General features: G+C 51.3%; 1 protein-coding gene across 8 annotated transcripts in view; it reads right to left on the bottom strand.

Annotated features, from left to right (window-relative positions):
• UBE2O (ubiquitin conjugating enzyme E2 O) overlaps window positions 1–17439 on the bottom strand; it is a 63697-nt gene that overhangs the window by 12884 nt on the left and 33374 nt on the right. For 4 of the 8 annotated variants that reach the window (XM_047436517.1, XM_024450867.2, XM_024450866.2 and 1 more), the window contains exons 2-5: window positions 15524–15631; window positions 3174–3233; window positions 2867–2977; window positions 263–360 (exon numbers count right to left, since the gene is read on the bottom strand). In XM_047436517.1, coding sequence (XP_047292473.1) covers window positions 263–360; window positions 2867–2977; window positions 3174–3233; window positions 15524–15631 — 377 coding nt within the window. The remainder of the gene's footprint in view (window positions 1–262; window positions 361–2866; window positions 2978–3173; window positions 3234–15523; window positions 15632–17439) is intronic. The other 4 variants (XM_017024935.2, XM_047436518.1, NM_022066.4 and 1 more) reach the window with 1 other exon arrangement.

Here is a 17439-nt window from a genome sequence, read left to right on the forward strand (position 1 = left end):
AAGTAAAGCATCAGCCTCTAGCAGATATCCTCAGTGAAAACGTTTCTCCCCATGCCAGGACAGATCAGAAACTGAGCAACAGAAATAGGCCACGGCAGATAAGGAGAACGGTACAGGGTTAGGCCCTGGATGCCTGCAACATCTGTCACTGCCCTTGATCAAACCTGTCATCACTGTCCCCAGGAGGAAACACCCTCCTCCTCCCCTCTTTCCAAGAGGCTATCCTTCCCAAGCCGATGGCTCTCTGGTGGTGAGACTCTACCTGGCGCCGTTGGATAGCTTCAGGATGATCTGGTTCTTCAAGTCGTAGACCTTCCCCAGCCAGCAGTCATAGGCAATGTAGTCCCCATACATGAAGGGCTGCAGACCAAGGAGGCAGGGGCAGTGAGACACAGCAGACAACGTTCATGTCCAGGGCACAGATTCCTCTATGCCCCACCGAAGACAGGATGGGGGAGGATCTAGACAGCTCACTGACTGGACCGGTTGGCTACTAGCCCTAAACAGCTGCTGCAGCAGGCCCTCCCTACAAGTTCTAGGCTGCATCCCAGCTGCTCTTCCCAGTGAGGAGGAAGTGGTGGTGGTGGTGGGGCTGCCTGGAGGGAACGGGGTGGGTGATGCAGGGGCAGAGAGGCCTGATGGCATCCATGGACATGGGACATCCATGGACACAGGACACCTGGCAAAGTAGGCTGTGGAGGTGGCAGGCAGAGGAGGCAGCCACACCACTGGGGGGTGGCTACATGGACAGTGCTCTGAGTAAATACGTTAACACATCAAGGATATCGAGAGCCAAGTCCCTCATTGTTGGAGAAGGTGCCCAGGTGTTTACTAACAGAAAGGGAGCAGGAAGGAGAAGAAGGAAGAGGAGTCTGAGGTGTTTAGGTGGAAGTGGATCTATCAGGATGAACTCATATATTTTATTTTACTTTATTATTATTTTTTTTAGAGACAGGGTCTTGCTCTATTGCCCAGGCTGGAGTGCAATGGTGTGATCTTGGCTTAATGCAACCTCCATCTTTGGGCTCAAGCGACTCTCCCACCTCAGTCTTCTGAGTAGCTGGGACTACAGGCATGCATCACCGTGCCTGGCCAATTTTTTCATATATTTTGGTTGAGATGGGGTTTCGCCATGTTGCCCAAGCTGGTCTTAAACTCTTGAGCTCAAGTGATCCATCTGCCTCAGCCTCTCAAAGTGTTGGGATTACAGGGGTGAGCCACTGCGCCCGTGAACTCTGCCTGAACTCATATATTTTAATATACACATAGAGCAGGTAGTGACATATTTAGATGTGTGTATACATATAATACATATGTATTTCCTAGTGTGTCCCAAAAGAGCCAAGTAGCAATTAGCACACCTAGCATCCAGATCTTGGGTTTTAAAAATACCATTCTCTGAAAACAATGAGGCTTCTTGGAGAAATGGTTGATTCTGGGGCTGGATCACAAAAAGTACAAGATGAGCCTGGCACATCTCATGCCAGAAAGAAAGAAAGTTCTTAAAAAACCAACAAAAAGGGCCATGTGAGAAGGACATGAAAGCCAGCTTGAAGGGGTTCCCACTGGCTAAATCTGGGACCATCCAAGCAACAGAACAGATAATAGTAGTAATTAATTATAACCAATGAATAAAACAGAAATCTCTAAGTCCATACTGATAAAAAAAAAGAATACATAAATAGGGCAGAAGATAAAGCTCTTCTACAGAGCAGAATGCCAGCTAAAAGAAATGAGGGGAACAAGGGAGTCATAGAACCACCATTTAGCAACATCAGAGCAATGGCTGGCGCAGGGGGAACTGTGAATGGAGGCCAAAGCTGGTGGATTTCAGTTTGACAAATGACAGGTTATAGACATAATCTGGGACTACGTTCCCACAAAATACAATCACTTAAAGGGGGTAAATGGTGAGTTTATGGTGGAGAGACCTGGTGGACACCAACATGACCAGGGGTAAAAGTGAACAACCCCAGCACTTTGGCTATGGGGTACCATGAACCAGGGCAGAGCTCTGCGGCGGGCCTGCCAAGAACACGTGGGCATGAGGCAACACCAGGAAGACCCAGGCTGAGGGTCAAATTACTGAATGTATCACTGTTCAGGGCATGGAAGACAAAGAAAGGCTGGGAAGCGATTCCAGATTGGAGAGAAAATGAAGAGATGACAACTCAATGCAAGATGTGTTCCTGAATTGGGTCCTGGATCCGCAAAGAAGAAAAGAGTAGTGTTGGGACAACTGCATGTGGTCTGTGGACTGGACAGTAATTATCAACGTTGATTTCCCAATCTGGGGGTTATATGGTGGTTGCACAGGAGGCTGTCCTCATTTTTGGAAAACACACAAGAGGTGTGTGTATTCCGGGGTGGGTGACAGGGCATCACATCTATAGCTTGCTGTCAAATGTTTTGGGAAGAAAAAAGACCGGAGGGGGATCTCGGGGAAAAGGAGGGAGGGAAGGTGATGGAGCAAACGAAGTGAAATCTTAACAGCTGAGGAACCTGGATGGAGGGACACAGGAATTTACAACTTTTGGTAAGTTTGAAATCATTAAAAAAATAAACTATTTCCAATAATTTATTTTTTTAAAGAAATGTTAGAGGAGAAAGGAAAAACACTTAAAGATAACCACACTGGCAGCCTATGCTGGGGTTGGGGAAGGGCACGTCCTGACCTCATGTCTAAATGGCTTACTTGAAAGCAGCGAAAACAAGGCTACAGGAGCCAGCTGGCTGCTGTGCTCCGCCTTCTGACCCAGGAAGGCTGTGCTTGGCAAGAGCACGGAGGAGGCTGTAGCCCAGAGGTCGTGCCGCCGAGAGAACCAGAGGGCCCAGAAAGGATGATGAGAAGACAGGGCCGGCTCACCCAGATGTGCTGCAGGTCCTTGCTGTTGACGGGATAGATGATGCAGTTGGTGCCGATGAGCTTGACGGCACAGTCGATGTTGACGTCGATCACCGTGCCACACTGACTGTCCTGGGGGAGGGAGGAGACATGCAAGTCCCGTGGTGCAGCAGCCCTGGTCACCAGGGGAGACCCAGCCCAGGCAACCCCAGCGCACCCCCTGCAGAGCTGGCCAGTTCTCCCACATGCAGAGTGCGAGGTGGGCAGGCTCAAGTCCCTAAGGTGGCTGCCCCCAGGCCCGGGGCTGGGGTGGGGACGCAGGACTCACGGTGGATCGCATGTGCCGGACCACATCTCGGGGCACCACAGAACGGTCCTCTAGTTTCAGCTGTAAAAGAAAATACAGGTGTGAGAGAATGGACTCTGAAGCCACCACAGAATACAGTTTTCTTCCAGCTTCTGAAGGAAAGCGTCACATCCACACTGCTAAGTGCACAAATCCTAAGCGTTTGGCTAGCAGTATCTTCACAGACCGCACACACCTCCGACCAGCACCCAGACCCACAGGCAGAGCGCGTCACGCCCACAGGCCTCCTGGGGCCCCTGTGGTCACTGTCTCACCCACCAGAGGCACTTGGCTTGCCGGAGGTAGCCTTCCTCACACTGAACAGTGCAGCTCAATGACAGATCACATAAGGCTGCACTTTAATGAAGGATTTAACAGCCCATTCTACAGAGAGCAAAACATTTGCTTTGCGTTCAATCTTTTTTCTGCCCTCTGCAAGTGCCTGCCCTAGCTGATCAGTGCTGAGGGAGAGTGGGCTGGGGGAGAAGCAGGACACTGGGCTGCGGTGGGTCACCCTGAAGCCTGGCTATCACCGGACACCATGTTCTAATCTGGGTTATCCTCCTGACCAGCTGCGGCCTGCACCTTATCTGCTGCGCTTGGAGCCCTGCAGGCTGCTAAGTAACCCTCAGGATGGTTGGCTCTTGGAGCCCGGCCAACTGCACGAGCACCTGATTGTCTCTTTACGCACAGCTGGCAGCGGCCACTGCCTCCTGCTGCTCCATCGCCCAAAAGCCCAGGCACGTGATGCTCCCACCAGGCCAGCCTGCGTCTTTTTTAGCTGGTTCCTCAAACCTGGGGCAGCTCCTCTATGGTTCTTCACTGGGTCATAATCATGGATGGGTCTCTGTGTGTGTCCACCTCCGAGACCCCAAACCACATGGCTGGAGAGCTGTTTCCTCAAATAGCCAACCAGACACTCCTCCGTGGTGGCCTCTCTTGACCTGGGGGCACTGAGAGGTCACCACCAAGAAAGGAGAACTGAGTCGCCGAAAAAGGAAGATACTGGCTCAAGGTCACTTAAATGCTGGCAATGACAACTAAAACAAACTCTGCTAGTAGAAGAACGTGACTCACAAAAAAAAAAAGGAAAGAAAAGCAATGAACCCCACCACCAACCAGCAGTGCAGAGAGTCCCATGGGAACTCATGAGCCCAAGTTGTTTTTTTTTTTTTTTTTTTTTTTTTGAGATGGAGTCTCGCTGTGTTGCCCAAACTGGAGTGCAATGGCGCAGTCTCGGCTCGCTGCAACCTTCGCCTCCCAGGTTCAAGCAATTCTCCCGTCTCAGCCTCCCGAGTAGGTGGGACTGCAGGCACGTGCCACCACGCCCGGCTAATTTTTGTATTTTTAGTAGAGATGGGGCTTCACCATGTTGGCCAGGCTGGTCTCGAACTCCTGACCTCGTGATCTGCCCACCTCAGCCTCCCAAAGTGCTGGGATTACAGGCGTGAGCCACTGCATCCAGGTATGAGCCTGTTTCAAATGACAACTTGCCCAGTCCTTAAACGCAGGGTTCTTGAGTCAGACACAGGAACGTCAGGCAAACCACTCCTGCCGACATGTGGAAGGAGAGATGATGGCAGCTGTCTCAGCATGGCTGAGGTGGAGTCACCAAGGCAGCGGACCGCAGGTGGCACATGGTGCACGGTACAGAGTAGGTGCTCAGCAAGGTCGGCAGCTGTGATCACTGGCCCTGTGAGCTGCAGGGTGAAGACCCCTGAAAGGTCAGGCTCTCCTTATCTCTGCTCCAAGACCCCAGGAGGCTGGAGAGGCATGCTGGCGTGACGGTGCCACTTTTCTAAATCAAAGAATATTCTGTGCCTGTAACCCTCTGTGCCCAAATCTCCACTCTGAGATACGGCATTTTTTTGTGCTGCCCCACCCTATCTTAATCCCCTGCTCCCATTTTAGACTTCAAAAAGCCACAATTGCTCCCAGAGAAGCCAGAAGCGGCAGGACAGGAGAATCCAATGCAAGGGGGGCTGCACCATGTGTGGCAGGAGGGCTGCCTCCACCACTTGGGGGTCCCTGAGAGAGCAGCCAGGAAAGGAGGAGAGAAGAACGCAGACACAGACCTAAATCAGTGCCGTCACTGATGAAACACCCTGTTCAGCCTAACAGCACCCTTGGGAGTGCAGGGGAAACCGAGGTGTCAACTCTGAGGCTGAAGCAGAAAAAAACAGCTGGTGAAAGCTGGCATCATGGCAAGGCCAGAGGCTGGCAGGGCAGGCAGTGCCCAGTGCTCCCAGGAGAGGGAGGCTGGCAGCAAATGCCATTCTTCCCGTGGGGTCTCCAGACAACAGCAGCTCCACCTCACCAGGATGCTGCCTCCAGGGGCTCTTCTGACCTTTCTATGACAAGGAGTTACATTTCTCCAAAGACCTGATGGTGCTGGGAGCAGAGTGGGAGCGACAAGGGGCTGGGGGATGGTAACATGGTGGCTACACTCCCTTCCACTGGGAATTAGAACCCAAGACAACGGCATGTGGAAGGACTTAGGATGACTTGGGAGGCTCTTGTGACTTTCCTTCCTAACTTCCTATACCCCACCCATACTGGGCACTGGCTTTCTCCAAATAAGCCCATACCCTCCCATCTGTGAGCCACTCCACTGAACAGTTACTTCCAAATGTCCTCCTCTCCCTGCCCCCGTATGCACAACCTGCTTCACAAAGCCTTTCAGTGCCCCCGTCAGGAAGGAACCGACGTGCTCCTGGCGAATGCAAGAGCTCTGGAGTTTTTCGCCTCATGCTAACCAGGTGCTTCCTACCTGGCAGACAGTTCTCCAAGCGTTTCACTGTCTTCGCCCATGAGGTGCTCCACAACCCATGAAGCACATCACTGCCATGCTCATTTTGCAGATACGCAAACTGAGACCAAGAGAAAATAAGCAACTCATTCAATGTCACAAGTAGTGGAGCTGGGACCTGAACGCAGGCAGTTTGGCTCCAGAGTCCATTCTCTTAACCAAATAAAAAGCTCATCTCTCCCCAGAGCTACAGAGACAGGGAAAGACTTCTGGCAGGTCTACACATTTAAAGACAGTGATTCTTCTGCTTATGAAAGAAAGAAAAACTCTCTTCATTTCTGAGGCAAGTGGAAGGCAGCAATGGTGGCCACTGACTGCGGATGCCTGCTAGGCACAGTTTGCCCTCCACTTCCCCTTCTACCTCCAAAGAGCAAATGACAGGTGCCAGCCGGCCTGGCAGGTGAACACTAGAGGGCACTGTGCCCACTCTGGGAAAGCACCAGATTTGTGAACAAAACTAAACCTTGGAATAAACCCAATCCCTACTGTTAAGGGGTGCCCTGCTTGTAGTTTAAAAAAAAATTGTTACTAGGAGGGGATCTGGGGTCGGGGGTGAAGAGATTTCAACTGTCCTCATGGGCTCTGAAATTCTAAACAACCTCAGAGTTGGTGAGCTATTTATTGTCTAACATTTCTTTTTTTTTTTTGAGATGGAGTCTCACTCTCTGGCCCAGGCTGGAGTGCAGTGGCGCGATCTCGGCTCACTGCAAGCTCCGCCTCCCGGGTTCACGCCATCCTCCTGCCTCAGCCTCCTGAGTAGCTGGGACTACAGGCGCCCGCCACCACGCCCGGCTAATTTTTTGTATTTTCAGTAGAGACGGGGTTTCACCATATTAGCCACGATGCTCTCGATCTCCTAACCTCGTGATCTGCCAGCCTCGGCCTCCCAAAGTGCTGGGATTACAGGCGTGAGCCACCGCGCCCAGCCTATTGTCTATTTCTTAGAGAGTCGTAACTATCAGAGGTTTCTGAACAGAAAAAGGACAAGACAAGATGCCAAAATGCTAACAGTGTCTCTAAGCCAGAAGGGGTGGTGGCTGGTTTAAAATGAACACACACTACTTTTTTTTTTTTTGAGACAGAGTCTCGCTTTGTCGCCCAGGTTGGAGTGCAGTGGCACGACCTCAGCTCACTGCAACCTCCGCCTCTGGGGTTCAAGTGATTCTCCTGCCTCAGCCTCCTGAGTAGTGGGATTACAGGCATGCACAACCATGCCCGGCTAATTTTTGTATTTCTAGTAGAGATGGAGTTTCACCATGTTGGTCAGGCTGGTCTCCAACTCCTGACCCCATGACCTGCCCTCCTCAGCCTCCCAAAGTGCTGGGATTACAGGCGTGAGCCACCGCCCCTGGCAAACACACACCACTTTGCACACATGTGACTCAACAGTGGGGCTGCCCAGTGGAACCCAGGACCGACATCCTCTGTGCCTCCTCTGGAAACAGGAGCAGCAAACAACACAGTTGCCCTCCGAGGAGAGGGATTCTGGCACATGCTAAGCGCCCATTCTCCTGCAGGGGGGATGCAGACAGACAGACGCAGAGAAGGTGGTACCAAGTGCCATGAAGAAAAACTAGGCCACATGGGGGCCAGCAGAGGGAGAGCACAGTGAAGAATTTTAAATGTGTGGTCAGGAAAGGCCCCTCCGAGGTGATGCTGAACCAGAGATCGGGATGAGATGGGGAATGAGCTTACCAAGCAGGGAGGAGTAGCTGTCAAGGTGCTGGGTGGGGTGACTGGCACAGGCCGGCAAGGCTTCAAGAAGGCAGAAGGCATGGTGCTGTTATTCAGGCCTTAGAGAGCCACAGGGAGGGCTTGAGATTCTATCCTGAGCAAGATGGAAGCCCCTGAAGGCCTCCACTCAGAGCCCTGCCTGATGGTGATATCCAAAACATTACCTGATTTTTGGGCAGGGAACGTGCTGAGAGAGGGAGCACGGAGGCTGGTTAGCCCAGTGGTTCTCACCTAGGGGTAATTTTGCTCCTCAAAGGACATTTGGCAATGTCTGGAGACACTTTCGGTGGTCATAAAGGGTGGTGGGGGTTCTGGTATCTAGTGGGCAGAGGCCAGAATGCTGAGCATCTAACAACGCACAGGACATCCCTCAACGAAGAATGGCGTGGCCAACGCACCCGCAGTGCCACAGCTGAGAAGCCCTGAAGGTGCTCTGGAGACGCAGGTGCTGAGACCCGAACAATGGCAGAGAAGGTGGGTCTGCGGACCAGCCTCTGGATACATCAAGTAGGAAAGCAATCAAATGGTAAGTGAGGGGTCAGGGACAATGCCAGGGCAGAGGGCAACGTGGCAGGAGGCTGGGCACTTCTGTTGTGCCCCATTTGAGCTCCCCGAAGCTATGCTGGGGGCCACTCAGAGCAGGCATTCAGGAGCCGGGGAAGCTCACCGGGGGCCTCTCCTGCCAGGAGCACTCTCCCTCCACGGCTGCCTGACTCCCAAGGCACATGCTGCTTCTCTGAGCTGCAGTCTTGAGGCTGACCCCCAATAACACAGCAAAAGCAACTAGCTCGTCCTGCAGCTCCTGGTCCAGACTCTCATTCATAACACTGACCTTGACTGACCAGGTGGAATCCAAATTCACTGTATAAAGTGATCCAGGAATAGAAAACACAAACTGAGGCTGATCAACATGTTGAAAATACAAAGACGCTAAATAAAGAAGCTACTTTTTTTTGGTGTGGTGGGGGAGGGGGTGGGTGGGAAGAACAGAGTTTCACTCTGTCGCCCAGGCTGGAGTGCAATCATGGCTCCATCTTCCAGGTAATACTCCCACCTGTCTCCTGAATAGCTGGGACTACAGGCGTACGCCACCATGCTTGGCTAATTTTTGTAATTTTTTGTAGAGAAAGGGTTTTGCCATGTTACCCAGGCTGGTCTCAAATTCCTGGGCTGAAGCAATCCTCCTGCCACCAAAGTGTTGGGATTACAGGTGTGAGCCGCTCCACCTGGCCAAGAAGCTACTTTCAAGTGATTTTGATTGTCATGTCCCTGTAGGAGCGGATGGCTCCTAAAGGCTGGGCTGCTCCTGGAGGCCATGCCCTTGCCCCAAGGGAAAAGGCGGCTTTGTGCCTGGCCACTAGCACCAGCATTTGAACACTAAATGGGCTCCCAGTTCAAAAAGGGGAGCTGGAAGAAGTCCAAAAGCAGGGGCCTGCATGGAGCCTAAGCACTTACAGCTCAAGGCTGGAAGCCACCAGCCATGCCACAGTCATCTCCAGGTGTCAGACACCAGGGAAGGCCAAACAGGACGAGACATGGGTGCTCTCTTTTAATCCCGGGGTAAAAGGCAACCCCACCGCTTCTGGAGGTTAGTGATGTAATCAATACCAGATTTTTTCTTTTTTTTCTTGAGACAGGGTCTCACTCTGCCACCCAGGTTGGAGGGCAGTGGCGCAAGCAGGGTTCACTGCAGCCTCAACCACCTGGGCTCAAGTAATCCTTCTGCCTCAGCCTCCTGAGTAGCTGGGACTACAGGCACATGCCACCACCCGGCTAATTTTATTTTTTTTGTAGAGACTGGGTTTTACCATGTTGCCCAGGCTGTTCTTGAACTCCTGAGCTCAAGTGATCCTCTTGCCTCAGCCTCCCAAAGTGCTGGGATTACAGGCGTGAGCCACTGTGCCTGGCCCCAATACTAGGTTTTCAGCTCACAGCTTGCAGTAGTCTCAAACAGAAAAGGTCCAGCATCATGCCAAGTGCCCGCTGAGGCTTCACAGACAGCCTGGGACCTCAAGGACAAGCGGACGACCAGCCCCACACTAGGTCCCTGGTGAGTGTGTAGACAACAGGTCAGCTTGCAATGGCTCCTGGATTTGTGTTCAAAGAGTGAGGCTTTCCCTTTGTAGGACTAAGCCAGACCCTAGACCTCTGAAGGTCCAGCAGCCACACACAGGACTGAAGCTGTTGACCTAGGCCAGGACTCAAAGACCAGATTCCTAAAAGGAAGATGAGGTTAGACCAGCACTGGAAACTTCTAAATTCCAACTTGATACTTCCCAAAGAGTAAAAACAATCTGAGAAACGCCACTCCTCCACCCCCTCCCTGACCCCCCATCTCTTATTGTCTGAGCTGGGTCTGAGTCCTAGGTGTATAGAAAAAGAGTGAACTTGACAGTGGCCAACTGGGGGTGTGGGAGAGACAGAGCTTCCAATTGTGCTGGGGACCTCAGGGGCTCCTAACCAGCCTCTCTCCCTCCCCTCCTGTCTCAGCTGAGGCCTCTCTGGCTCTTTGGTTGTCCCTGAGCTTGAAGGGTCTAGCTCCACGCTGCCATGTGCCCACTCCACTGCCAGCACAGGTGTGGCGCCACTATAGTTCAAGACAGGGGTCACGTGTGTTAGTGCATATATATTTTTCAAACTAAGAAAACCAACTCGGCCGGGCGCAGTGGCTCAAGCCTGTAATCCCAGTGCTTTGGAAGGCTGAGGCAGACAGATCACAAGGTCAGGAGTTCGAGACCAGCCTGGCCAACACGGTGAAACCCCGTCTCTATTAAAAATACAAAAATTACCTGGGCGTGGTGGTGGGCACCTGTAATCCCAGCTACTTGGGAGGCTGAGGCAGGAGAATCGTTTGAACCCGGGAGGCGGAGGTTGCAGTGAGCCGAGATTGCGCCATTGCACTCCAGCCTAGGTGACTGGAAGACAGGGCAAGACTCTGTCTCAAAAACAAAACAAAACAAAATGAAACAAAAAAACCCAACTCAGTTTTGCGGGGGTGGAAGCAGGAAACCTTGCTGAGGCCTAGGATCCCACTTTTTTAGTGATTCCTATATATTCAAGGCTAGACAAGAATACAAACATAAAATAAGGTACACATATGGTCTTTAAAGATTTTGCAAGAATCTGACGTAGGGATGGGGTGGAGGAAGTAAGGACCAGTGACATTCACCCCCATCCCACAATGTTAATGCAGCTTGATGGCCTGAGAAGCTACTTACACCAGATTGGAAAGTTTATCCCAGTGTGGATTTCTGAAAAAGCTGCGGAAATCGTAGAATGGCATATTCCCCAAAGCAGCACTTTTTTTCAAACCATGTGTTGTGACCCATTAGTGGGTTATAGAACCAATTTAGTGGGTCATGGTCAACACTGGACAAAAAAAAACCTGAGTGCATTAATATACATGTGGTAAGAATAAGTACTATTAGGTTGGCAAAAAGTAACTGCAGTTAAAATATTTTGAAAAAACCCGTTCAGTTGCATATATAACACGTATGTGTCCCGGGTCATGATATAAAATGTGTATTTTACCGTGAGTGACTGCTGAGAAGCTGGAGAATCTCCACTCTACTGAATTCTCTGCCCAGCACCTGCGCCGACTCTCGGTCCTTTCTGGCCAGGCTTCAGGGCAGTTACATCAGAGGGAGGACATCCCTCTCATGAGAAGCTGGTCTTGGAACCAAAAAACATGCAAACCAACACAAAACCCAAGACCCACACAGTCACACTCAGGCACTTTTAGGGTGAGGAACTTTAACTTTCTGACCTGACTTAAAATGTTACTAAATTGGCTCAAACAGTAAAACCAGGAGAGGCAGAAAATGGGGCCTCCTGTTGGAGCTGGACTCCTCTTCCAGCTTCTTCCTAAGCCCGAGTTTCCAGTTTGGACTGGATTTGAGGATGTGAATGGTCAGTAATTCCGGCTGGTGCCAGTGTAAGGACTTTCTCAGAGCAGTTGACCATCATGTGGCTGAGCCCTGATAACCCGGCAATCAGCTCACTGCCCACCTGAGGACAGAAGGTTTTACCAGCAAAGCACAAATGGCCAGGGGGCCTCACATGCTTGGGGGAGGGGAGGGAGAACCTCCGGAAATGGCTGGAAGTAAAAGAAATGTTGGTGCCCCTAGCTGGAAAATTCTGTCAATCATGAGCTACGGAAGCCATTCAACAGAGAAGCTGTGCTAAGACTGAGGTCAACTGATTGAATAGTTTTTGAGTGTTTTCTATAGACTTAAGACAAGACAAGAATACAAATATATAATTAAGAATGGGAATTAGCTTTCTAGAACTTACACTGAGATGAGGGAGGTAAGATGAAATTACACCTGAAAACAGTTATACACAAGTAAATAGAGCACTAAGCTGGGTGGGGAGACCAGAAACTGAGTCCTGTCTGGATGGCGGTGGGGGAAGGCAGGAGGACCGGGGTTGCAGGGGAACTGCACACCAGGGACAGCCCCCACGCCCTCACCCCTGACACCCTCTCTGATCTCACAACGCAGACTCTCAGGCTGGGCAATACAGTGCTGCTGCATCACCGCCTGGAAACTCGGCTGCAGCTCGCCAGCTTGCTGGAATGGCCTGGAGGCACAGCCTGCCCGAGGGACAGAGAAAGGGGACTGAGTCCAACTGCCTGCTAAGTGAGGGGGAAGGACTGCAGAGCTTGGCCTGGCAGGGGGCCAGCGGGCTGGTCTCTGCAGATGCTGCGGTGTTTGATAAGCAATATGTGCACTTGGCGGCAGGAGCTGGGAGCCGAGGAGCCCAGCCCTGCACCCCTCTGTCTTGGCTCTGGGCTTGTCAACCTGGCTTAAAAAAAGACAAGAACAGCCCAGGCCTGGCTCCTGCATTTGAAGGGAGGGGACAGATGGGCATCTTTAGGAGAAGGCCGCCTCCTTCCTCAAAAGTATAAGTAGAAGGCAGAAAAGTGATCAGCATGATTCCATGTTCTGTTCTTGTCAGGCCTGACTGGGTATCACTACCTAACCAGTGGCCCCGGACTGCTCCATTTCAGATGCGACAGGCTGCGGTCCTGTGGCTGCCGGGCATCCCTGAGAACAAGAAGGGAGTCGGCCAGCTGGCCAGGCACAGAGCAAGTTCACAGCCTCAACACCCCTCAGTGTCTGATGCCATGTTAGTTCACGGAATGAGGACCCAGGCTGCTAATCACACAAACTGATCCTGACGGAGCCTGCCAGGAAAGAACCCCACGTGCACTGCCTCTCCCAACCCTATGACCCCCACGAAGGAGGCACCACTCTTGTTCTCATTCCACAGGAGACTGGGTGGCTTGGAGAAGTAAGTGAGCTGCCTAAGGTCACCCAAGTGCCAGGACTCCAGAGCCTTTGTTTTGCTCACCTGCCCTTCCTCATTTGACCTGTCTGGTCTCCAAGCATGGCCCTTGCTACACCTGGACCAATTGGAACCATGCTGCCATTCAAGTGTGGCCCTGGGCCTGGCGAGGTGGCTCACACCTGTAATCCCAGCACTTTGAGAGGGCAAGGCGGTTGGATCACTTGAGGTCAGGAGTTGCAGACCAGCCTGGCCAACATGGTGAAACCTGGTCTCTACTAAAAATACAAAAATCAGCTGGGTGTGGTGGTGCGCACCTGTAATCCCAGCTACTTAGGAGGCCGAGGTAGGAGAATTGCTTGGACCCAGGAGGTGGAGTTTGAGTGAGCTGAGATCACGCCACTGCACTCCAGCTTGGGCAACAGAGCAAGACTGTGTGTGTGTGTGTGTGTGTGTGTGTGTGTGTGCATACACATATATGTATATACAAATATATATACATACATGTATATACAAATATATGTACATACACGTATATACAAATATATACACATGCACATACACGTATATACGTATGCGTATACATATGCACATACACGTATATACGTATGCGTATACATATGCACATACACGTATATACGTATGTGTATACATATGTACACACACGTATATATGTGTGTGTACATATGTACATACACGTATATACGTATGTGTATACATATGTACATACATGTATATGCGTATGTGTATACATATATACATATATGTGCGTGTATAGATATATAAAGTGTGGCTTTATATACACATACGTGTGTGTGTGTATATGTATATGTGTATATGTGTGTGTATATGTATGTATATGTATATGTGTATATATGTGTGTATATGTATGTATATGTATATATATAAAGCATGGCCCTGGACTGGCAGCCCAGCATCTTCCCTGAGCTTGCTGGAAACGCAGACTCTCAGGCCCCATCCCAGACCTGCTGCCTGGGAATCATCTGAAAAAGTTCCCCAAATGATTCTGATGCACACCCCCCAGAGAAACAGCTAAAAGGGACTGCATCCCTCTGAGCTGCTTCTGGGAAAATTTGGGGGAAACAGCGGTGTTCCCCTGTAGCTATGCTCCCCAGGAGAAGAGGAGCCCTGGAGGGGCTGTGTCCAAGAAGTGGGGCAGGGCCTGCTCTCAGCCATGACAGACCGCACGTGGAAGAGACACAACCTCCCTGAGCCCACACCAACCTCCCCGCGCTTCTCAAACACCTGCAGTTACTATTTCAAGGCAGATGAAATGAATACCATCCCGGGATGCTGGCATCACTGGGACACCAGCTGGCCTGGAGAGTGGGAGTTGACCAAAATGTCACTTCTTGGCTGGGTCATTAGGTCCTAAGACCCTCAACTGCCCACCTTTGCACCTCCATCTCTCCCAAGGCACAACAGCAACAAGCAGCTCATCTCAGGACAGTGAAACAGGACTCAAATACTAACTAGAACAGCACCATCATGGAGACTGGGAGGAGTTTCTGCCCAATTCTGCAGGTGCAGTGAGACAAAGCTGCGGCTGGTCACATGGAGGCTACACACTGCAGGGGACAGAGATGTGGAGTATAAGCTTCAGGGCACAGGGACCAGGTCCTGCAGGGGCCACAGAGTTGCCACTCCCCAGCTGTGTGTGCTGGAGTCATGTCACATCTCTGGGCACCAGATGCCTCATCAGGGGGTTGGGCAACACTGAGCTGAATGAGCTCCAGGCCCTTCCGGCTACAGCTCCAGAGCTTGTCCCCTAAACACCTCCTGGGGTCCTGATTTCCACCTGCCTGGCACCTCTCCCTGACTCAGGGGCAGGCTTCTGCTCTTCACATGTGGGCACCCCCATTGACCATCAGAGCAGGCCAGCCGAAAGTCAACGACATCCCTGGGCAGCATGGCCCAAGGAGGCCCCCATGGCTGGGGCACCAGGGCAGGTCCCTAGACGAGGACCTCTTCCCTGGAGAAGACGATAACATTTACAAAGAACAGAACACAATGCAAAATTTCATGTATGGGCACATCAGGATTTAAATGTATTATTACAGTGAGGGGATTTTAGATACACCAGGAGAGCTATCTGAAGAGAACCAACAGGAAATCTTAGAGTATTAACCACCTCCTTGTTAATATGGTCAAAATTCTCTACCCCCTCCTTTTTATGAGTGTGGACACACCCACCACCAGTGATAAGAGGACATGGATGGAGGCCAAATGAGAGTGCACTGGGTGGCTGAACTGAGCTGGGTCTTTAGAGGCCATCACTAAAACCACCTGGCAGAGAGCACCACGAAGGGCCTTCGACTACAGGAGGAAAGAATGCTAAGCATGTCCAGGGGCAGGAAACAGCTATTGCAGGCCCAGGCGAGACAGGAGGAAGGGAAGAGGAGCAGGTGTTTGATGCTGCATGGATGCATCAGCGTCCGCGAAGAGACGTCTGGGTGAAGAGATGAATGTCTCACTGCACCTGCAGAATTGGGCAGAAACTCCTCCCAGTCTCCATGATGGTGCTGTTTCCGCTGGTATTTGAGTCCTGGCTCACTGCATTTAGAGGAGCTGCTTGCTGCTGTTGTGCCTTGGGAGAAGTGGAGGTGGAGAAGTGGGCAGATGAGGTTCAATGCTCTTCACCACCTCAGGAGGAAGGCGCAGGGGGAGGTCACAGAGCTGGGACACGTGGAGTGGGCCTACACCCAGTCCCACCCTGGGGTCTGGGATAGCTGCCCCACACTGCCCTGGGACGCCCTGAAGAAGGGATAATAGAGAACAGACACCAACATGTGAGACCTGGAACCTCAGCCTTCTGACAATGTTTTCTATACTATTAGGCAAAAAACTTCCCTCTTCTAGGAGCCCACAGCCTCCCGGAGGGCTCTCCAGGCCTCACACAAAAACTCATTTTATCACAGTCCTGAAGGAGGTACACAATTCCTGAAAGTAACAGACTAAACTGTACTTGGACTATAGGACACCCTCTTCCAGGAGCCATGCCTTACAACCAGCAACTGCGAGGCGCCATTTGGCTGTCTGCACCCTGTGCTGGCCTCTGAAGGGCAATGGTGGAAGCCAACAGTTGGAGGAAGTTTAGATATTCAATTCAGCAGTGCTGAAAGCAAAAGACCATGAAGCTGTGGAAAATGGAGCAGCCTCCACAGGTCCCTTGGAAGGAGGAACAGGTTTTTTTTTTTTTTTTTTGAGACGGAGTCTCGCTCTGTCACCCAGGCTGGAGTGCAGTGGCGCGATCTCGGCTCACTGCAAGCTCCACCTCCTGGGTTCACGCCATTCTCCTGCCTCAGCCTCCTGAGTAGCTGGGACTACAGGCACCCGCCACCACGCCCGGCTAACTTTTTGTATTTTTAGTAGAGACAGGGTTTCACCGTGTTGGCCAGGATGGTCTTGATCTCCTGACCTCGTGATCCACCCGCGTCGGCCTCCCAAAGTGCTGGGATTACAGGCGTGAGCCACCGCGCCTGTCCGGAACAGATTTTAAGGCAGTTGTTTATCAGCTTGAAAAACACGGATTTTTCAACCCAAACCCATTGAATAAATTTCTGGGTGGAGAGATTAATGTTCCCTAGGTGAATCTGATAGTTAAAACAGTTCAACTTCTGACTGCCACGGTGACTCGCGCTGTAATACCAGTACTTTGAGAGGCTGAGCTTTGAGAATCACTTAAGCCCAGGAGTTCGAGAACCAGCCTGGGCAACCTAGTGAGACCCTATCTCTACAGATTTTTTTTTTTTAAATTAGGCCTGGTGGCTCATGCTCATGGTCTCAGCTACTTGGGGGGCTCTGGTGAGAGGATCACTTGAGCCCAGGGGGTCAAGGCTGCAGTGAGCCACGATCGCACCACTGCACTCTGGCCTGGGTGACAGAGTAAGACCCTATCTCAAAAAAAAAAAAAAAAAAAAAAAAATCCCTTTCTCCTGAAACAAAATATACTCTGACTACTTAGGAATATTTGTCTTTAATTAAAAAAAGTTTTTAAGTTTACTGCTGATATGGGGGTGTAATGAAGAAAAAAATAGAAAAAACATTTTAAGTTAAATCCAGGGATCAAGGCGTAAAAGCAAGGTGACTGAAAATAACTAAGAAAGCGAGAGTTGACTGATGCCCACCCTTCGGCACTCCCTGACACACCCTTCCTGTGGTCCAGCCCTTGGGAAAGACACAGAGGCACCAGGTCCTCAAACTGATATGGCCCCAACCTTGACCCACCTCTGCTCAGGTGGTCCAGATCCCAGCCTGGGCCAGTTTCCATGCTGACAAGAACAAGGCCCCGGGCCAGTTGCTGTCACAGTGGCAAAGAGCAGATCCCGCCAGCACGCATCCTTGGGAACCTGGTGGACATGGTTTCGCCACCTTGAAGACTTCCAGGCAGGAAGG

This window comes from Homo sapiens, chromosome 17, assembly GCF_000001405.40.
Source record: "Homo sapiens chromosome 17, GRCh38.p14 Primary Assembly".
Taxonomy (NCBI): Eukaryota; Metazoa; Chordata; class Mammalia; order Primates; family Hominidae; genus Homo; species Homo sapiens.